This window comes from Homo sapiens, chromosome 2 (genome assembly GCF_000001405.40).
Source record: "Homo sapiens chromosome 2, GRCh38.p14 Primary Assembly".
Lineage (NCBI taxonomy): Eukaryota > Metazoa > Chordata > Mammalia > Primates > Hominidae > Homo > Homo sapiens.
In genome coordinates, this window is record NC_000002.12 from 215,725,051 (window position 1) to 215,748,195 (window position 23,145).

The 23,145-nt window shown below is 39.0% G+C and overlaps 1 long non-coding RNA gene and 1 pseudogene across 1 annotated transcript in view; both read right to left on the reverse strand.

Moving 5' to 3' along the window:
* LINC00607 (long intergenic non-protein coding RNA 607) overlaps positions 1-23,145 on the reverse strand; it is a 231,974-nt gene that overhangs the window by 113,488 nt on the left and 95,341 nt on the right. Inside the window, exons 3-5 of the long non-coding RNA NR_037195.1 lie at positions 22,254-22,344; positions 18,764-18,864; positions 15,827-15,971 (exon numbers count right to left, since the gene is read on the reverse strand). This is a non-coding gene — a long non-coding RNA (long intergenic non-protein coding RNA 607). The remainder of the gene's footprint in view (positions 1-15,826; positions 15,972-18,763; positions 18,865-22,253; positions 22,345-23,145) is intronic.
* On the reverse strand, positions 7,293-7,365 carry LOC124906139 (uncharacterized; annotated as a pseudogene).

Below are 23,145 nucleotides of genomic sequence, written 5' to 3' on the forward strand. Positions count from 1 at the left end.
CCATTCCTGCGATACTTTACTTAGAATAATAGTCTCCAATCTCATCCAGGTCATTGCAAATACTGTTAATTCATTCCTTGTTATGGCTGTGTAGTATTCCATTGTATATATATGCCATAGTTTCTTTCTCCACTTGTTGACTGATGGGCATCTGGGTTAGTAACCATTTTGCAATTGTGAATTGTGCTGCTATAAACACATATGTGCAAGTATCTTTTTCAAATCATGACTTCTTTTCCTCTGGGTAGACACCCAGTAGTGGGATTGCTGGATCAAATGGGAGTTCTACTTTTAGTTCTTTAAAAGATCTCCACCCTGTTTTCCATAGCGGCTGCACTAGTTTGCATTCCCCACAGCAGTGTAGAAATGTTCCCTGATAGCTGCATCCATGCCAACATCTACTGTTTTTTGATTTTTTTATTATGGTCATTCTTGCAGGAGTAAGGTGGTATCTCATTGTGGTTTTAATTTGCTTTTCCCTGATCATTAGTGATGTTGAGCATTTTTTCATGTTTGTTGGACATTTTGAGAACTGTCTATTCATGTCCTTAGCCCACTTTTTGATGAGATTGTTCCTATTGCTGCTTTAACATATTTCCACAACATTAGTGCCTTAAAACAACACGCATTTATTATATACAGTCCTAGAGGTCAGAATTCCAAAATCTATATATAAGGCTGCATTTCTTCTTCTTGGAGACTCCAGGGGAGAACCTATTTCTTCACCTTGTTAAGTTTACAAGGTGCTGCACACATTCCCCTGGCCCCTTCCTCCAACTTCAAAACCAGCAGTGTAGTATCTTTTCTCCTCTCTGACCTCTGCCTCTGTTCTTACATCTTCTCCCTATCTTCTGACCCTCTTGCCTGCTCTTATGAGAATCCTATGATTACATTAGTCCACCTGATAACGCAAGATAATCTCCACATCTCAAGACCTTTAGTTTAATCACATCTACAAAATCCTTTTTACTTTGGAAGGTAACATATTTGCAGGTTCCAGGCATTAGGACATAAACATCCTCAGGGCCATTTATTCATTCTACCACAAGAATGAAGAAAAAAAAAAAAAGCAAAAAAAAGAAAAGAAAGAAAGGTGGGGACAGGGAGAGGGGAGGGAGGGAGGGAAGGAAGGTAGAGAGAGAGGGAGGGAGGGAAGGAAGGCAGAGAGGGAGGGAGGGAGGAGGGAAGGAAGGAAGGAAGGAAGGAAGGGAAGGAAAAATGTCTCTCTGCTCCAGTTTTTATTCATGTGTAACCACTGAATTCAACTCTCAATGGGAAGAATAACAAAAAGGTTGAAGCTCTTTAATCTCCTATGCTTTTTAAGTATAAAATTTCAGCTAACGAGGAGTGCATGATGCAAGCCATCTATACTAGAAATGGAGGGAAGGGGTAGCTTCAACCGTGTCAAATACCCAGAGAACATTCTAATGTGTTTAGATCAGTCTGGGGAATCATTTATAAATCATTCTGGTTTTAAACATTTTGAATCTTTCTTAGATATGTATTTTTAAAAGTCTTTCCTCTACCATTTTTCTGTGTCAAAGTCTATGGAAATAACCACTAAGATAAAGAATCATAAAAACTCACTAGCTTATGTTTTCATGTGTTTTATGTATAAGGATATGTTTTAGGTTCTACATAAAGCATATTAAGGTATGCCCAGAAAATAAAATCATGTCCCCCACATTTTGTTGAGAAACAATGATGGTTAGGTTACAGCCAAATTTTTTTGCTCATTACAAGGTCTGAAATACAGCTTTTGATTTCCTTTGTCTGAGTAGAATGTATAACCTTTCTAAATTTATTTTTATTTTCCAACATATTATTTGCCTTGATACTGATGTATGTGGTATACTTATAAAGATAAATCTTTCTTCTTTCCTTTCCTAATTTGTTCAAACCTTTGATGAGAAGAACCAATATTGTAAAGAATGCTGATGGCTTCATAAATATTTTTATCATTGAATTTCAAAAAAGCACATACAATAGTTACATAACTCTTACTCCCATTCATGTGTCATCTTTGGAGTCTATGGTTAATAATAATAACACTAAAAACAATGGATTTAGATTGAGTAGGTACCTGTACATGGGTAAATTCATTGATTCGTTAAATATTTACTACTACCTCAAAGAGAGTAAACAGCCTGGTGGGAGAGACAGGCACAGTGACATGCTGAAGCTGGCTTAAGCTGGGTCTCATTGGCTCCCAAGAGCCAATTCTCTGCATCTCTTCTCAATTCCACTTCATTGACATCAAGTTAGTAGCTTGAAATCAGCCATGGTGAGAGTGAGAGTATTTACACCACAGAAATTGGCAAACACTATAAATTTGGGCTTTTTGTTAGACATTCACCAGGCACCACTGCAATACATAGATGTGGCTAACAATGTGATGTGTTAAGAAACAAGAGAGATAATAAAAGCACCAAGAAGGGGTGCTGAACACAGTTAGAAGGATCAAAAAACCTTCCCTTTTGGGGCTAACCTCCAATATCACCTCCTCTGAGAGGCCTTTCAATACAACCTTCCTGAAAAAATCCTGCTCCCAGGCATGCTGTCATACTACACTGTGCATTTCTTTCAGAAAATCTGCCACAGTTGGTGATTATCTTACTTATTTTTACTTATCTGTCTCCCTTACTGGGATGTAAACTCTTCAATGCAGGTTCTTATCTGCCTTGTCTCCCTGGCTACTAAAAGGCACTCAAAGTATTTTTTTAAAGTTAGTGGTGGAGTAGCAGTAGGGTCTCAAAGGATGAGCAGAATTTGGCTAGGCAAAGAACTAAAGGTAGAACATTCTGAGCAGACAGAAATACAAAGAGTGGTGGCCAGAGAAAGATAGTGTGTGCATAAAACTTACAGTCCAAATTAAGGAGTGGCCTCTACACTGGATCATGTGAGCCACAGGGACTCATGAAGGCCACTGTTCAAACTCCTATTTACCCAGAGATGAGCAAGAGCATGGCTAACTCCAAATTGGCACAGATGTGGTTTTAGGTCAGGAAAGAAGAAAACTAATGAAACATCTCTCTCCTATCTGATTGGTAAATTGAAGTTCTTTTTCCTCAGTAGAAGGGATTTATCCCTAAAAAGCATTGCTGAATCTCCCCAATTCAGAGTGTTCAAAGTGTGAAGCATTTGATAGCATTTAAATTGAAACAAATAAACAAGGCAATGAGGATATGTTGGTTTCCCCCATGTGCATTATTGAAGTCCTTCTGCAAATAATTGTGGTCTCTTGACAATGCTGCATGTATTAGATCATCTGAGAAATGTATTAAAGGGGTTTTCTGTTCAGTGAGGGAGCAGGGTGTTCAGTACCTAAGGAGATAAGCTAATTTGACTACAGGTATTGAGTCTGCATAAAGCATTGAGCCAGTGCCCTCTCCCACTTCTCCAACATGCCACAATCTATTAGATGAGGCGATAGGATCTTCAATGGGATGAAGAAAGGATAAAATGATGGAATGACTAATTCTGCTGGGTGAAATTCAGCAAGGTTTCAGGGGAAGGTAATGTTTGGTTTGGCCTTAGGAGATGAGTAGAACTTGAGCAGGCAAAGTCTCAGTGGAGGGGGCACTTCAACAGGAAGAACATGCTGATCCAAACCACAGAGGCCAGAAGTCAGGGTGTAGATATATTTGAAGGCTCATGGAACTGCCACACATAGATTAACTTACACAACTCTGAGCAGAACAACTGCCAATGTGCTTTTGCAAAACAACATTCTAATTTTACTTCGGTTTTCATAATGGCAAAGTGATTCATTAGTTCCTATTACACATTGCAATTTCAAAATGATAAAACACTGAGAGTCCTTTCTTAATTATGAAAGTTCAAAAAAGGGAACTTAAGCCAAATCTGCTGTTTCCACTCAGCAAATGTGTGGCCACAAGAGGTGCTTGACCCGCCTGCACACAACTCCTATTAAGTCTTGTCCATACAAGCTTAATAATAAGATAATATCTTTGCTTTGTATACACAGTGGAGCCTCATATGCATACCATAATTGACTATGCAGGGTTAGAGAGGCCCCAAGTCAAGTTATGTCACAGCCACGGCATAATCAACTATATTCATTAAAAGCACAATCAGGCCAGGCTCACACCTGTAATCCCCGCACTCTGGGAGGCCAAAGCAAGTGGATCACCTGAGGCCAGCCTGGCCAACTTGGTGAAACCCTATCTCTACTAAAAATACAAAAATTTATGGGGCATGATGGTACTTTTTTGTAATCCCAGCTACTCGAGAGGCTGAGGCATGAGAATTGCTTGAACCCAGGAAGTGGCGGTTGCAGTAAGCTGAGATTGCGCCCCTACGCTCCAACCTGGGTGACAGAGTGAGGCTCCATCTCGATAAATAAATAAAAACAAACAAACAAACAAACAAATAAATAAATAAATAAATAAAAGCACAATTCAGGTAAAACTCACTTGAAGACAACTTAAAATGTGAAAATAACTGATTTCCAAAATGGACATACAAAGGTGATTGTTTTATACTTATTTCACCATTGGTTTCACTTAAATAGTGAGTTTTAAAATGACAATTTATCAAAAGCTATTTTCATCAGAAATATATTTTGTGTGTAAAGAAAAGCACCCCAAGGGCTGCTTGGTGACCAAGAACAGAGACTGATTCTGGCTGGCTTAAGTTAAAACAGAAATTCTTGTATGAATATTATCAGAGAAAGATAGTGTGTGCGTAAAACATAAAGTCCAAATTAAGGAATGGCCTCTAGACCACTAAATAAAAGATAAAGCTGGAAATAGAGCTCAAAAAAATCTGTGCCTCCCCAACCCAGAAAAAGAGGGCAGCTCTTGGAATCCAGATAGAACTGATAGGAAGTGCCTCTTTGATCATTTTTCTGATCTTTTTCACTCAGCTCAAGCTTCAAATTCCCAGGATAAAATGACCAATCTGGAATTATCCAGAGACAATCACACCCCTTCAATTACAGTCCCACGGAAGCTACACAGGTTCGTGGAGAATGGTTTCCTCAAAGGAAATTGGTGCTTTTATCAAAGAGGGTAGAATGGGTTGGGCATAGTGGCTCATGCCAGTAATCCCAGCAATTTGGGAGGCCAAGGTGAAAGTATACCTTGAGGACAGGAATTCCAGACCAGCCTGGGCAACATAACAATATCCTGTCTCTAGAAAAAAAAAAAAAATAGCTGAGCGTGGTGACACAAGCCCATAGTCTTAGCTACTCGGGAGGCTGAGACAAAAGGATCACTTGAGCCCTGGGCAACAGAGCAAGACCCTGTCTAAAAAAGAAAAAAAAAAAAAGAGAGTAAGAAGGTGGAATGAATACCAAGTAGCCAGAAGATGAGGAATAGCCATTCTAACCCCTAACCTGAGGGTGTTCTGCCTGTGATTAGTCCTGACTCACTATACCAGTGTGATACAGTTGAGAATTTTGTCTTTCTCCTTATCCAGCCTTTCCCTGACCCTTTTTGTTCTGAAGAGGTCAGTAGCAACTTCTAGAATCTGTTTGTGGAGGGAATTTTAAAATACATACCTGTTGGTTAGTCGGTGTTTCCATGTGATACTTTTTACATACTCAACAATTTACTTATCCCTCCATATATAGCAATATGAGTGTTATCTAACCACTAGGAATTTTTCTCCATGAAGTCTATAGTCACATGCTAGTGAGATAATTTAAATATGTCCACAGAATACAGAATATTTTTCAAATAAGTTTTTAAAAGCTTAAAAGGAAAAAGACTAATTAAAAAAAGGCTTTAGGTCTTTCGTACCAAACATTCTATTAAGCAGATATTTTTTGTGTAAGTTACTTAATTACACAGTTGAGCACTGTGTAAACACATCTCAACTCTCTATATCAACTTATGTAGCTGTTAAATAAAAAACCTATAGTATGTACAATATGTTGCATTTTTCCATAGGAAAAAAATGAGTTCTGTCAACATGTCCAGCCAAGCTAAAGTAGAATGACTTCAGCTACAAATATCTAGAAATGCTGAGTAAAACAGGATAAAAAAGAATTTGTTTTTAAATGCCCAGCTAAGCTCATGAGAAATAATGAAGAATTCCAAGAATACGGAAATGACCAGGTTCCAGAAAGGCAGAGGATGTCCAAATGGATGCAGCAGTGGCCTTGGGGTGGGAAAAGCAGAGGGGCTCAGATGATGCTGGGAAATAGGCCCTCCCATCTACACTAGGACAAGATACAAGAGTGGGCCATGCAAAGAGGACAGTGGCGGCTGAGACCTCTAGATCAAGCTAGAGTCCTACAGCGCTACAACCTCAGTATAAAGGAACTGGACAAAGTCCACCTACCCACCAGGGAAACAGCAAAGAGGCTTGCCTCAGCCCTAAGAGCAGGGTGGGAAAGGAAAGTTTCCCACGAGAAAATGAAGCCCCATGGCCATGCCAATCCTAGGCTTGGAAGCTGAATTTGCACTTTCCTTGTGATATGGGATTTCCCCAGTTTGAGACTGACATAGATGTTGCTCCTGAGCTGGTTGCCCAGGGCTCCTTGAAGAAGAAAATCCAAAACATCTCTAGAAGGATATTCCACAGGAATTACCACAGGGATTACCACAGAGGAAAAAAATTTGCTAAAGATCGGGTTATAATTTTTTTTTAATTATATAGTATATGAGGTAAAGATCCAACATGAGTGAGGATCCAAAGCTCTCTCAGAATCCAAAGGTCTCTGCCATAGAAAAGCAGATATCATTTCCAAATTATTTTATTTATTTTATTTTTATTATATTTTTAGAGATGGAGTCTCACTCTGCCACCCAGGGCTGGAAGTACAGTGGTGTGACCATAGCCCACTTCAGCCTTGACTTCCTGAGCCCAAGAGATCGTCCCACCTCATCTCCCAAGTAGCTGAGAGTACAGGTACATGCCACCATGTCCAGTTTCAAATAATTTTATATTATCTGGAAGCTAGTATGAAAGAAATATTAAAATGACTAAAGAGATTAAAGAAGGAATAAAATTCATAATGAAAGAATAAGACATTATGACAAAAGAACACACACAATTTTTAAAAGAACCAAATGGAAATCTGCAAATAAAAGATAAAACCTGAAAAATTAATGGATTGGTTAAATAACAGACTGGACTCTGATGAAGAGAAAATTAGCTAACTGGAAGAAAAATCCTGGCATATTACTTTGAATGTAGCATGGAGAGACTTTTTTAAATGTAAAAAAACATAAAAGGTGGAAAGTAAGCAAGATGAAAGATGGTGTGCATAGGAGCCAAGAGAAAACTTCCCTTTAGAAGTTTTACTGAAAAATCAACTAGAAAAAGGCATATTATTTATTTTATTTTATTTATTTATTTGCCTGCTAGACAAATTCTAAAAGAGCTTTAACATTGCCAAAAGGCAGGTTAATAGGAGAAAGGCATACAAGTGTATTAGCATGTACAGGAGACATACAGAGATCTGAAAAGCAAGATGCTTGATGCTTTTATACCATCTTGAAGTTACAGAAATAACAGGGGCTCAGAGAATGGCCCAAAACACGTTTTGATGGTAAATCAGGTTATGATGGCAAGACCAGGTTATGGGAGGAATAGAGAGGAAGCCTGGCTAGTAAAGGTGGTCTCCTTATGTAGAGGAAACCTCACAGGTGGCAGCCCTCAGAGAGAATAGGTAGTAAGTGTTTCTTTAGGCCCTTAACGGTGTCAAACTCTCAGTTAATTTTTCCTAAATTGGACAAGGGAGAGCCTCAGAGAAAGCCTGGCTTTGTCAATGCAGATTTTCTTTACAGAAGCAAATCTCCCTACAAAAGACAGCTTTTCAGCTATTCTTATATTTCCAGGTCTTCTGCACAGCCATCTTGAAATATGTAAAAGAAGTATATTTGGCGGGTGAAATATTTTAGTTTCCTTCAAGTGAAAGGTCCAAGATACATCTATTTAATAGGATTTCTAGAAAGGTTTATAGAGAAAATAAAGAAAATTCAAAGAGTTGATGTCTGGAATTAACACAAATCCTCACATCGAAGAGGGTGTGCAAAGAGGCCAGAAAGGGAAAAATAGAAATAAATCTGCACTTAAATACGTCAAAGCAAAACTGTGTAGCATCAAAAAGAGAGTATCTTAAGATCAGTGGAAAATAAAAAGTGGAATAATTGGACTTACAGCAGACTTCTCAAAAGCAACAACAGAGGCCAGAGGAAAATGAAATCATGTCTTCAAGTATAATTTCAACCTAGAATCCTTTATCAAGCTAAGTTGTCATTCAAGAATGAAAGCAAAGTAAAAATAGATATTGAAATCAACAAAGAATAAGAAATACCAAACACAGGCCCTCATAAGATAAAAGGAAATTAAATTGAAGAAAGAATAGCAACAAAAGGACTATTAAACAAAAAAGGTGGTAAATATGTTCGGGCATGGTGGTGTGCGCCTATAGTCCCAGCTACTTTGGAAGCTGAGGCAGAAGGACTACTTTAGCCCAGAAGTTCAAGGCTGCAGTGAGCTATGATTGAGTTACTGCACTCCAGCTCTCCAGCCTGGGCAATTGAGTGAGACCTCACTTGAAAAAAAAAGTGTAAATAAAAATAAACATTGAATGTAAAAACTTCTAATATTTCATTTGAAGAGTTTAAAAATAAGGTACAGCTGAAATGTCAGTGTGAAAAATATGACTGCTTACAGTCAAGATGTACTAAGGTCTTTTTCTTGTTCAGAAGGATTCACTTTACACTGTGTAAGTCAAGTATGTGTGTCAAAAGTGTACAGGTAATCACTAAAAAAAAAATAGACTGCAAAAGAATGTAAAACTTCTAAATCAGTACTAAAAACATAAAAATTTGATCAATTCAAAGAAAGGAGAGAAAAGGAAATAAAAACATAAGATATATATATATATATACACAAGCCCTTGAACTTCTGGGTTAAAGTAGTCCTTCTGCCTCAGCTTCCAAAGTAGCTGGGACTATAGGCGCACACCACCATGCCCGAACATATTTACCAGCTTTTTTGTTTAATAGTCCTTTTGTTGCCATTCTTTCTTCAGTTTAATTTCCTTTTATCTTATGAGGGCCTGTGTTTGGTATTTCTTATTCTTTGTTTATATATATATACACATATATATATTTCCATAGGTTATTGGGGAACAGGTAGTGTTTGGTTACATGAGTAAGTTATTTAGTGGTGATTTGTGAGATTTTGGTGCACCCATCACCTGAGCAGTGTACACGGTACCCTATTTGTAGTATTTTATCCCTCACCCCCTTCCCACCCTTGCCCCCTGAGTCCCCAAAGTCCTTGTGTCATTCTTATGCCTTTGCATCCTCATAGCTTAATTCCCACTTATGAGTGAGAACATACGATGTTTGGTTTTTCATTCCTGAATTACTTCACTTAGAATAATAGTCTCCAATCTCATCTAGATTGCTGCAAATGCTATTAATTCATTCCTTTTTATGGCTGAGTAGTATTCCATTTTGTGTGTGTGTGTGTGTGTGTGTGTGTGTGTGTGTGTGTATCACAGTTTCTTTCTCCACTCATTGATTGATGGGCATTTGGGTTGGTTCCACATTTTTGCAATTGCAAATTGTGCTGCTATAAACATGCATGTGCAAATATCTTTTTCATATAATGACTTCTTTTCCTCTGGGTAGATACCCAGTAGTGAGATTGCTGGATAAAATGGTAGTTCTACTTTTAGTTCTTTAAGGAGTCTCCACACTGTTTTCCATAGTGGTTGTACTAGTTTACATTCCCACCAGCAGTGTAGAAGTGTTCCCTGTTCACTGCATCCATGCCAACATCTACTATTTTTTATTTGTTGATTATGGCCATTCTAGCAGGAGTAAGGTGATATCACATTGTGATTTTGATTTGCATTTCCCTGTTCATTGGTGATATTGAGCATTATTTCCTATGTTTGTTGGCCATTTGTCTATCTTCTTTTAAGAATTGTCTATTCGTGTCCTTAGTCCACTTTTTGATGGGATTGTTTGTTTTTTTCTTGTTGATTTGTTTGAGTTCATTGTAGATTCTGGATATTAGTCCTTTGTCAGACGTATAGATTGTAAAAATTTTCTCTCATTCTGTGGGTTCTCTGTTTACTCTGCTGACAGTTCCTTTTGCCATGCAAAAGCTCTTTAGTTTAATTAAGTCCCAGCAATTTATCTTTGAAAAATATATGTTTTAAGATCGAATATGTAATATAGTCTAAGTAGCGTTTAGAATTACACCTATACATTAGTATAACTTCATTTTCAGAAAAAATGAAAAGATCATAAAATACCTTATGTAAATAATCATAAAAAAGTAATACAACTAACTACCTACTAAATCACAGAGCCTCTCTGATTAGATTAAAAATAAACAGACAAAATAATAATCCACATGAATGCTTCTTACAGAAGACCCACCTAGAACACAATGACACTGAAAGGTAGAAAAAATGAAAAAATATATATATAGATGGTCCCTGAGTTATAATGGTTCAACTTATGATTGTTTGACTTTACTATGGTGTGAAAGCAATACATATTCATTAGGCCCTCCATTTAGTAGAAACTGTACTTCAAGTACTCATGCAACCATTTTGTTTTTCACTTTCAGTATAGTATTTAATAAATTACATGAGATATTCAACACTTTACCATAAAATCGGCTTCGCATTAGATAATTTTGCTAAACTGTAGGCTAATGTAAGTGTTCTGAGCATGTTTAAGGTAGGCTAGGCTAAGCAATGATGTTCATTAGGTTAGGTGTATTAAATACATTTTTGACATGATGTTTTCAACTTATGATGGGTTCATCAGAATGTAACCCCATTGTAAGTCAAGGAGCATCTGAATACCAGGCAAATTATAAACAAATGAAAGCTTGTATATTGGCATACATAGTAGATAAAACAGACTTTAAGTATTTTGCAGAATAATAAAGGCTATTACCTAAAATTAAAAAGAAAATTCTCCAGGAAAATAGCATAATCCTATGCCTTTTTTCCCCCCACAACATTATAGCTCCAAAACACACAAAACAAAAATTAAAATACAAGGAGAAATTGACAAATACACACCCACAGTGGAATATTTTAAGATCTCTTTCTCAGAAATTGATATGTCAAAGAGATAAAAAAGTAATAAGCATATAGATAATTTGAACAATGCAATGAATATGATTAAGCTAATAGAAATATATGGAACCTTATCCCAACCATTTGATTGTAAATATTGATTTTCAAGCACAAATAAAAGTAAAAAAATTACCTAGGCAACAAATCAAATCTCAGGAAATATCAGAGAACTGGTATCACATGGACTGTATTCTCTGACCAACATCAACCCAAAACACAGCCCAAAAGATCCCAGTCTTCTGGAAAATTTTTAATTTCCAAAATAATTCATGAGTCAAAGAAGAATTCTAATGGAAAATTAAATTTTAAAGAAATGGTCAATAATAAACATTAAGCTTGGGTTATACCTGAAATTTTTTTTAAGAAAGAGAGGGAGAGGTCTGAAATGAATATCATAAAACATAGTTTTTAAAGCTGGATGCTATATATAAAAAATGCTATTATATTATTTTCTGTATACTTCAAATAGTTTATAATTATTTTGAGTTTAAAAATGAAGTTACTTATTCTGCTTTATATAAAGGTTATTTGTATCTCAATCATTGGAGGAATGGGTAAGGATCTGTTTTGTATTTGTTTTCCATATGGGATAGACAGGAATTTAGACAAAATGCTTCTATCAGTGAACACAAGGCTTCACCCAATATGGGGCAACTGATTTTCCTTACTCTCCAAGTCCCATTGTACTAGAGGCTAAAGGCGAGATATTCCCAGTCTGGCCTCCAGGGTCACCTTCAGGTCTGTCAAAAATACCTCCTGCTGGTGACCAGAAAGGCTGCAAAGCCGGTCATTTTTAAAAAGAACATATTGCAGATCACCCACGTAGAAAATCAAACTTGGGGGCAAGCCTCATGGTTAACAACATTTATATTGACCCCACTTAAAATATTTTATTACATACTTCTGATAAAAAAGCAACGTCTGCCTATGAGCTGGAGTTTTAGTAAACATCCTCCCTTTTTGAAGTGTGTCTTTAAAATAGTCATCCTAAGCAAAACTGAGAACTCCCTACCCTCTGTGACTCAAGTCTTAGGCAATCCTCAGATTCTCTTTCCCAGTTCTCCCAATTAAGTCCTGGGTGATTCCTGCTATCAGAATTTTATGTCATTATTGTCAAACTTGAGTAATGTATACCCTGTTTTTGGAGGAAAAATATTCTTCTGAGCCCCTAATGTTGATGAATTACTTTCATTAGAATGTTACTTTAAAAATATATACAAATGTAAAACTAGATATAAACTCATTATGCTAAACAACTGTAATACCAAAACAAATTTACAAATTAGAAACAAAACTACCAAACCAATACAGTTCAAATTAACAAGATTAATTTAATGTGACAATTAGTATTGTTTTGCTAAAATTGTATTGCAGTTAGAAACGATTGGCTTCCTGTTAGGTTCAGGCAATTGTAAGCACTTAGAGACGTATTGGAGGGCTGGGGAAAGGAAAAGTCAGGATATTTGCTCCCTCCCTTTTCTGGTTCTAGTCTAGCAAAGAAGCTCCTCCCTCCCTGATCCCACCTGGCTCCGGAAGGCAGCTTTTGCCATGGTTACTGACTGCATCCAGAAGCCCTGGTTTCCTGCCTCTGCTCATACTATCTCCTCCCCAGATGCCTCCTGGTACTGATCTGCTGCTGCCACTAACCTCTCTTTTGCCCCTCCATTCCCTGTTTGATTTCTTCCTCTCTTCCAATACCATTGTGATATGGTTTGGATTTGTGTCCCTGACCAAATTTCATGTCGAATTATAATCCCCAGTGTTGGAGGAGGGGCCTGGTGGGAGGTGTTTAGATCATGGGCGGGGGGGGGGGGCAGGGGGGATTTCCCCCTTGCTGTTCTCATGATAGTGAGTGAGTTCTCATGAGATCTAGTTGTTTAAAGGTGTGCAACACCTCTCCCTGCTCTCTCTTCCTCCTGCTCCAGGCATGTAGGACGTGCCAGCTTCCCCTTTGCCTTCCGCCATGGTTGTAAGTTTCCTGAGGCCTCTCCAGTCATGTTATCTCTACAGCCTGCAGAACCATGAGCCAATCAAACCTCTTTTCTTTACAAATTACCCAGTCGCAGGTAATTCTTTATAGCAATGCAAGAACAGACTAATACGCATTGTTTTTTACTAGTTTCCAATAATAAATTCCCTTTATTAAACCACTATTCTTATCATACTCTTTTCCTGACTGACCCCACAGATACACAGGTTATATGTAAGAGTGGAAAGAGATGGAGAGCAATCAGATTTCTTCCTTCATCCATGTGTATTTATGCCAATTGTTGTACTTTTAACTTCCCTCTTTTTTACACTTCAAAGTGCCAAGAATAAACCAAAAAGAGGAATCTCCCCAAAAGTGTATACATTTGTTTTATGTAGAAACCATTTTTGTTCCCTAAATTTCCTGTGGCTCCATATGTCATCAGAAGGGATTCAACAGGAAAGCATCTGTATCACAAAGGGGAAGCACACCCAAACAATGGATGAGTTCTGTCTGCAGATTCCAATTTGAGAAGTATGGCTGAGCAACCTTAGATATATCATCCCCAAAGCAACTAATAACTTAAAAGGGAAATCCGAATATTCATTTCCCTTGAAAAAATGGTGAACGAATTGAGGTAACCAATTCTTTTTTTTTTTTCTTCCTAGAGTTCTTTTAACATTACACGATTTTTCAACATTTTTCTTTACTGAGTTGCACCACCAGATAGACAAGGAAGAAGTTAATGTCCACACTTGAATATGAAAAAGGGAGAGAGGAATTTTAAATCAGGAAGTATGTCTTTAAAGGAACAGCATGAGAGTAAATAATTTATGATAGAACGACCAATATTTCTTCTATCAAATGCCAAGTTTCTTACTTTCTCTAATGGTAGCTTTTACGTTATATAGGTACCAGCTCCTACTTTTATCAGTTCTCAAGGCCATGAATATTTAATGGGTTGGGAAAAGTATGGCTCCTCCTAAGAGTCTGAGAGAAAGAGAGCCAGCATGTTTAATGTTTATTACAGAAATTAACTGACGGCAGGACATTCCTTGCAGGTCTTCAAACCAGCAAAACATGGGAGGTTAAGTTGATGCCAGGCTCCACTCCAGACAATTAAGACAGGAATCTCTGGTGGAAATCTCTGGGGGTGGGTTTCAGGCATTAGAATTTTTAAAAATTTTCCCACGTTATTCTAACGAAGCCACTAGCCTCAGCCAAGCATTAAAACTTACCTTGGATACTACCTTTTTATTGGATTCCATTTTTTTCCTCATAAGAGTTTGTCCATTTCTCCCCCTCATTCTTTATTATTTTGAATGACATTGACATAAGTGATACTAGAGCTATAATCAACTTGAGATTTTGTTTTACCTGCCACTTGATAAAAGAAAACAGACAAGGAAAAATACGAGTCCTTTTAGGGGTAGGGGGTGGTGATTATAGTGATGCCTGCCAGAATCCTCAGATAGCTGAACTGTGTGACTTTCACCTCAAAAGTCACTATCAAGGGACCGTGTATCAAATCCACTGTCCATTGGTCATTCATTTTGTGTAGTCCTTTTTCTCAATATCTTCAGGCTGTTAGCACATGGTATCAGACACAACCTGTCAATCCTCATCACATTAGAAATGTCCCAGTTCACAGTTCTCCAGAGCCCATGGCTCTTATAGGGTTGAAATCTCAGCACTCATTATAGCAACACCACATTGTATGTATATATCTCCCAAGACAAACACCTCACAAAGAATAAACAATGGCTTAGCCTGGGGATCCCCTAAACATGCTTGATAGTACACCTAATAGAAGTTTAAATAAGGGTTTAACATTTTCCCCATGATCCAATGGATCATCTTGCACCTCCCCTGAGGTGCTCACACCTCACTCCAGAGACCACTGAGCCAGTCTACTGGATAATGCTGCCTGACAAACAATTATTACTGTTGTGCTTTGAGTTGTCCCTGAATCTAAATATTAGAGCAGAAATTGTAAATGAGAGTCGTTCAACAATGCAAACAAGGTAAACAGAAAATTCTTCATCATCACCCATGAGTTACTTGATGAAAAATTCGAACGGAATTTTGTGTTAGTACCAAACGTTTCCTGTTACCATCAGGGCTAGGACTCTAGGACTTCCCAGGCTCCAGTCTGATCCTCTGAACAATTTTACTCAAATCACTTTTTGAACTGTTTATAGCTATTTTCATCATTGTTTCAGTGGTCACTCTAAACCAAAAAACGACCTCTAGGTTTTCTTGCTCAAGTGCTACATTCTTCAAAAGAACGCACTAGTAAAGTTCTGGCCATAATTTCAAAGCAGATTTTCTCTCTACAATAAATAGGTGTGCTTAAAATATAAAATGTTCTCAGTGAGGCATCCTTTATGAAAAAATGCAGTATAGCAGGACTTAGGCAAGTGAATTGATTCTGAAAAACTAAAAAGAGGCACAGGAAAATTTCATCAAGGTCACTGAAAGGGGGGAAATGAGCTGAAATGAGCAAGTACAGAGATTTGAGTCATGACAATTAAATAATCACAGAGTTTGATCCTGGTTTTGCAGCGGAGGAAACTAATCTGCCCAAGGTCATGCTCTAGTTTAATGGCAGAACGGAAAACATCCGCAGACTCCTAGCTCCCTGTCCCTTCTTTTGGTCTATAGTATAATTACTTCCTTAATTACTTATCTTCCATTCTCTTTTCTATCAGCCTTAGATAAGAAAGCCAAGACATTTCTTTGGTTGCCTTGTAAATCATCCTTACTTCACAAAGACTCATGCCTCCCCCTTGGGTGTTTCTTTTTCCTGTGGTCTTCCCATAGGAGAAGGCTCTGTATTCCCAACTGCAGGGTTCCTGTCTGCCTCGTTGGAGAGTCCTTTCATCACTGCAGTGCGTGGGCTGCCTGTCTCTAAAAATAAGATTCCATTTATTTGTTTGGTACAGGGAAAATCAATTATGGTACAGTTCTCACTGTGGAGATATTCTCAGACAATATTTTAACTGACTCCCAAGTTCTATTTTAAAAGCATCATAACCACACAAGCACAGAATTCTGGAGATTAATAAGTCTGCAGAGTTCATCCAATGTGGTTCCTTACCATTTGGGGATCATAAAACCCTTTGAAAAATATGATGACAGCTACAGAAACTCTCCCCAGAAAAAAAATATACATACAAAGATATATATGAAGACATATATACAAAATTCATACAAAAACATGCAATGTTGTTCACTGGCCAGGAGGCTAGTCCCTGGATCCCTGGGTTAAATAGCCCTTTGTTGACTGAGAAGGAACCTAAATCCCTACGAGGAAAATTAATTTACTGAGCACAGAGCTAGTTAGTGGAAGAAATAGTACTAGAACACAGGTCTCTTCTTCCCAGTCCAGAGGTACACTATAGGATGACAAAGGTGACCATGTCATTTATCATCTAAACCAGGACACTTTAGAAAATGAAAAGGTGGGCTATTGACAATTAAGACAACAGGTGTAAACTGAAACCCTTTGGGGCAAATCAGGACATACGGTCACTTCAGTCACACTAAAAACAGATAACCTCTTAGACCTGACACTTCTTTGTGCCAGAAAGCCAAAACCTCCCGAGAAAAAAATAAAATGTGAACTTGCAATACAACCTCTGAGTTTTATTCTACGTTGCTTTAAAGAGACCAAGCTTCTACCCTCTTGTCTGAGTTCTCATTAAATGCATATCACACATCTCATGAATATAACATACAAAGGAGATTATTATAACACTTTATAGCAACAGGATTTAAGTTCCCTTGAGACCTCCCAAGGGGCATCTCAATCAATTTTAGGTTTTATCAGCAACACGGTAGTGAACATCAGAACTTTCTCTTTGCTGCTGTTGGTAAAGTCAGTTTCACTCCAGAGGTTTGACCATTTCAGTCTGACTATGCAAAGAAAAGATAAGTAAAATTGATTCCATCGTAAAGAATCTCTCTAAAGGTCTAAATAATTCATATCAGTCTCAACCTTCAGGCATTATCTCAAGCAGTAAGCATATTCCAAAAGGCCCCAAACTTCCAGTACTTTCCCTTGTCAAAGCCACACTCATGCCCTTCACTCATTGGCTGGCCTTTCCTCTAAAGGGTCAAGCGACTGTCTCCATGCATCATGTTCTTAGAATGTTATTATAATATCAAGACTTTAAAAGAGAGTCTGTTTCTCAGCTTAGTGATATTTAACTATCCTAGCAAAGCCTCCAGTTCTGAATTACATTACTGTGGTCTACTTTGGGGCCCCAGATCAGCCACTCTCACTGGCTATGTGTTAAAATTACATAGTGAACTTTCAAAAAACTCTCACACTTGGGTTCCACCCCTGGAGATTCTGATTCATTGGCTACAGGTTGGGCCTGAGCATAATCATTTTTTCCAAAATTTTCCCAGGTGATTCTAACTTGCAGCCAGAGTTAAGAACTACTGCCTTAAAGAAAACCCAGTGGGCATTCCATAGGTAGTATCTACTGGCTTTTTCCTTTTCCCTTAAAGCTAGGGGAATGCAATGGGACATGATCTAGCACATGTTGGAGATGAGCTGGTGGGAAGGGGAAGAGAGCTTAAAGAGCTAACATACAGTCCTAGTAGACAGTGGTCTAGTAAATAGGCACAGCTGTACACAAACCTTCTGCCTTGACCCAAGTGGGTCTTGGGCATTAACAGCAAAGATCCTCAGAAGAAATCTCCTTGGCACTCAGGTACAAGAAATATCACATGCCTTCATTTTCTAAATTAATATATAATTGGCTCACCCCACACGTGCCAGTTGGTGGAGAATCCAGCTACAATCATTTTTCCATACAACCCTTCTCTACTTTTGCCTATACTCCCTCAGCCATATCTACACATCATAAGCCTCAAGGATTATGTCACTCAAGAAAACGGAACAAAGGCCCCTTTTCTTCTTGCCCACTCCCATGTAATTGCTGTCATCTTGATGTTTATTCATAATGCCACTGGTGTGTGGCATTCTCCCCTAGAGAGAATTGCAACTCCATATTGATCCAGGAGACATCAGAAGGGCAGTGGCAAAGAACAGGCTGCTACTCTTTGCCTACTCTTTGCCTCCCTACTGAGGGAGAAAAGCCCTGCAAATTCTGGGGCACTTCCTTATAAAAGAGTTCTGTTTCCTGAGAACTCTTTCTCAGCAAAATCTCTTTCTCATCTTTCTGTTTCTAACAATAAGTACTTCCCCCAAAAGGCTGCACCTCCTCTTCTCTTCTTCCCACCATCACCATGAAATCTGTAATGATTCAGCTTGACTCCTTTCATGCACCTTCTTAAACTATTTAAGTTACTATCTACTGTGAGTAGACACCACTATAGCTAATCCTTCTAAAGAAAGAATGTGCCAACAAAAAGGCAATGGCAACATAGAAAACCCAGGTGCTAAGAAGCAAACTTAGCAATGTGTGTCCAACTAAGTTGGACATACAAAGATATATATGAAGACATATGTACAAAACTCATACAAAAATCTGCATGCAATATTGTTAACTGACCAGGAGGCCAGTACACCCAAAAAACAGAAATTCTGAGTCAGGGCACTGAGGCATGCTTGGCCTAGAGAGGTATACTCAGCTGAAAGGCAAGAGTATTTCATAAGGTCTCCCCATGGTCTGGATGAAATCTTACTCCAGATAGTTTACTTACCAAGGAAGCTTAGGTATACTCACCCGGCTTCCCAGGTATCTTGACATAGAGAAAGTAATGGTGGTGGTGGAAACCATCAGGAGCTGAGATGCACATACTCTGGCCTCTTGGAATGCATCCTGTCCTGTAAGTTAATAAAATAGTAGTCTGTTTTTCTATTAGTTGCATGCAAATTTAATTATGCAAATGTCTCTGCAAGTCTGATCTTTTCTATATATCCTCGTATTTTATTTTTGTGCTTGCAAGAATTAAGCTTAAACAACCTTGTGAGGACTTTTCATAGTCAACTATTTGGCCTTCCTTCCCCTGGAAGCACCTCCTCCCCTCCTCAGTGTCTGTAGGCTTTGTCCGCTTCTTAGAACTTGTGAGCAGATGAAGGGGACCCCTAACATGGCAACAACAACGACCTGGAAGTGGAGAGTGCAAAAAATGACAAATCTGCTTTTTACAGCAGAGGCACTCAGATGCTGGACCCTACAGTGTGCAATAACCATGGGGATCCTAGATACTTTGCATTGCAACCATAGGAAGTCTCAATATGGTGTGTGTGTCCTCTAGTGCCTGGCACATGGCAGATGCTCCACATTATTGTATCTTGTGCACATTCTTTCCCTAAATGGGCATCCCAATATCTCAGGTTTAAAAACAGCCCAGCTATATCGATGTGCTACAATAACAATGGATAAATAGACCTAAATAAAATACTCATTCACAAATAGTGCCCGAGGCCTCAACCTTTTGCATTATATGGACAGGGGCCTGAGCTTACACTTAACTGGCAAAGGAAATTTGCTTGCAAAGCAATGTTTGACCCATTGAACAAGGAGTGCCCCAGGCAGAAACTAAAATGCTATAATCCAGTTTTAGAGAACTGCTTAAGCCACGCAGGTCTTTGGACCTGAGGTTTAGCCCAGCTCTACGACTGGCTGACCCGCTGTTCTCTACTATATTTGTTGCTTGATCTTTGACTTCACTTTTATAAGTAATGCAATCATTCTAACTCTAATTACTTAGAGCAAATCATTGACTTTGGCCATCAATTTTTTTTACCAGCAAGTTTTTAAACTACAATATTTTTATTTTTGTATCTAAAGATTAAGGTAGACATTCTCTGCTATTGTGCTACTTTTTAATTTTTTTAAGAGATAAGGTCTTGCTCTGTCATCCATGCTGGAGTGCGGTGGCATGATCATAGCTCATAGTAACCTAGAACTCCTAAACTCAAGGGATCCTCCTGCCTTGGCTTCTCAAAGTGCTGGGATTATAGGAGTGAGCCACTGCACCTGGCCAGAACTTTCTTTTTTAAATGAATTACTATGCACAAGCCCTTTGCTATACATGTAATTTCAGGTAATCCTTTTGATATAGTATCTCATACTCCCATAAATCCTATGAGGACTCATTACTTCAATTTACAGCTGAAAAATGAAGAAACAAAGAAACGGAGGCTCCAGGACATTTGGGTACGGGTTCCATGAAAAACTAGGTGTCCATAGCACCAAGCATATGCTTTGCTCCTTTGTGTGATGCAGAAAAATATAATTTTGTAGTCAAGATTCCCAAAGGGAACAAAAAAGTCACATTCACTTCACCTATTATAGTCCTTGAAGACAGAAACAAATCAATTATCACCTCATTTCTGACAAAGAATCATAGAGTGTGTCTCTAGATATGTTGGTCTGATGCTGACTGATTTATGCTGTGTGGGATTGGGCAGGGCACAAGCAAAAGGTACCATGACTCTGGGGAAGTGGTGGGTGGAGAAAGAAAGGGCACATTGCAAGATAGCTGATACGGAATATTCCGAAAAGTTGTGTTTCAGTTTCCTCTGAATTTGTCTCATTTTTTTCAGTAAGTATTCTTCCCTAAACTGTACTGTCTAAATGTCATAGGTAGAATTTGTTCAGCTATGAGGGTATCCCTTCTAGTAAAAGTTTGGAGATGTGTTAGTTATCTAGAGCTGAAAAAAGAATCACCCCAAAATGAAATGTGTTAAAATAACATTTATTATTTCATGGTTTCTATAGACCAGGAATCCAGACATGGCTTAGCTGGGTTCCCTGCTTTAGGATCCAACAGGTTATAATTAAGATGTCAACCAGGGTCACAGTCATCTCAAGGCTCAACAGACAGGTAAGAACTCGCCTCCAAACTCACTCACATGGCTATCAGCAGGACGAAGTTCCTCACCAGCTGTTGGACTCAGGGTCTCTGCTCCTTGCTGGCTGTTGGCTGGAAGCTACCTCAGTTCCTTGCTATGTGGGGCTTTCTATAGGACAGCCCACAACCTGGCAGCTTGCTTCAGCAGAGCAAGAAAGCAGAGAGGACCAGAGAGAGTGCGACCAAGACAGAAGAAGTCACGGAAGATTTTTGAAACCTGTGATGGCTAATTTTGTGTGTCAGCTTACTTGGCCACCCAGATATTTGGTTAAGCATTATGCTGGGTGTCTTTGTGAGGATGAAATGAACATTTAAATTGGTAGGCTGAGTAGAGCAGATTGCTCTCCTCAACATGGGTGGACCTCATCCAGTCAGTTGAAAACCTGAATAGAAGAAAAGGACTGACCCTCACTCGACCAAGAAGGAACTCCTCCTGCCTGACTGCCTTTGAACTGGGATATCAGCTGTTTCCTTCTTTTGGTCTCACACGGAAACACTGGCTGTTCCTGGGTCTCGAGCCTGCCAGCGTTTGGATGAAAGCTACACCATCAGCTTCTGGGTCTCCAGCTTGTAGACTCCACCTGCAGATCTTGGGGATCTTGAGACTTACTGACCTCTATAATTGCATGCTGTACATTACATGCTCTGTTTCTCTGGAAGACGCTGACAAGTACCTAATCTAACCTTGGAGGGGACAGCCCATCACGTTTGCCATAGTCTGTTAGTTAGAAGTGAGTCACTTGGTCTAGTCAACACTCAAGGAGAGAGGAAGATGACACATGTTGTGGGGTACCAGGAGGCGTGGGGTACCATGTTAGAAACAGGCCTAGTGTAGTGCATCGCCTGCCAAGTTAGAATGAAGAATGGAGATAACTGGAGGTGTGTGGAGCCGGCAGCAGGAGAGGAAACAGGAGAGGAGTTTGCATGTGGCCTTGGAAGTTACCCAGGGAGGTCACCTTTTAGTGCTTTCTCTCTGGCTGGTTAGGGATTTGCAACCCAAACCTAGGGTTTCATAGTGAAACAAAAGCATGAAACATAATCAGCATCCAGATCTGGCACACAGCAGAATTTGGCAAGTCTCAAAGCCTGTGGAGATCCAGGCACAGCAGAAAAAGCATAGATTTGGACTCAGAGGACCCAGATCAGAGCTCCACAGAGCCACGCAATGAACTTGGCCAAGCTGTACGAGGACTCTGAGGTGGGGCTCTGTCTTCCCATCTGTGAAATGAGACTAATGGCACCTTCTTCACAGAAATGCTGGCAACATTAAATTAAATTCTCATTTCCTTAAAAGTGTTCCATTGAAAGCTAGTTCAGCAAAAATATGACTAGACAGAAAAGGATTACACTAACCATTCAATGTGAGAAATTCTGGGTTAAAAGGTGAACCAATCCTCTTCCTACAGCGTCTGAGGGTCATTGAGAGGTACTGAGTATTCTGGGCCTGCAAAAGAAAGGCAGATGAGTCAGTGTTAACCAAACAGATTTGGCTACCACACTTTCTCCAAGAGAATCTTATGTGACTTGTGTTAAATAATGAATTAAATAACACAGGTATAAATGTTTACCCATGGAGCCTGGCAGATCACCCACATACAGTCAGTGTATGTTGACTCTGAATCAGATTATAACACAGTAGTCATGGCAGTAAGCCACAGTGAGATGACCGGGACCAAAATCACAGATGTCCTAGCATTTGGGTGATAGAATAAATCAATCTCCTGCTACTAGATGTGACTATCCTGTGGATAAATAGCGGGACTACTAGGTTGGGCTTACTAGGTAGTGCTCTGATAGATTCTCTCTCTCTCTTTCTCTCTCTCTCTGTATATATACATATATATATGTTTTCATTGGCTGCATGGAGCTTTAGTTTTTATTTTTATTTTTCAGAGACAGAGTCTCACTCTGTCATCCAGGCCGGAATGGAATGGTGCAATCATAGCTCACTGCAGCCTTGATCTCCTGGGCTCACACAATCCTCCCACCTTAGCCTCCCAAGTAGCCAGGACTACAGGCACATGCCACTACACCTAGCTAATTTTTTTTTTATTTTTATAGAGACAGGAGCTCCATATGTTGCCCAGACTGGTCTCAAACTCCTGGGCTCAAGCAATCTTCCCGCCTCATCCTCCCAGAGTGCTGTGATTATAGATGTGAGCTGCGCCCAAGCGGCCCTGATAGAGTATTTTTTTTTTTAAACATCAGGCCAGACCATACTCCTGTAGAAAGGGAAGAGGTTTAC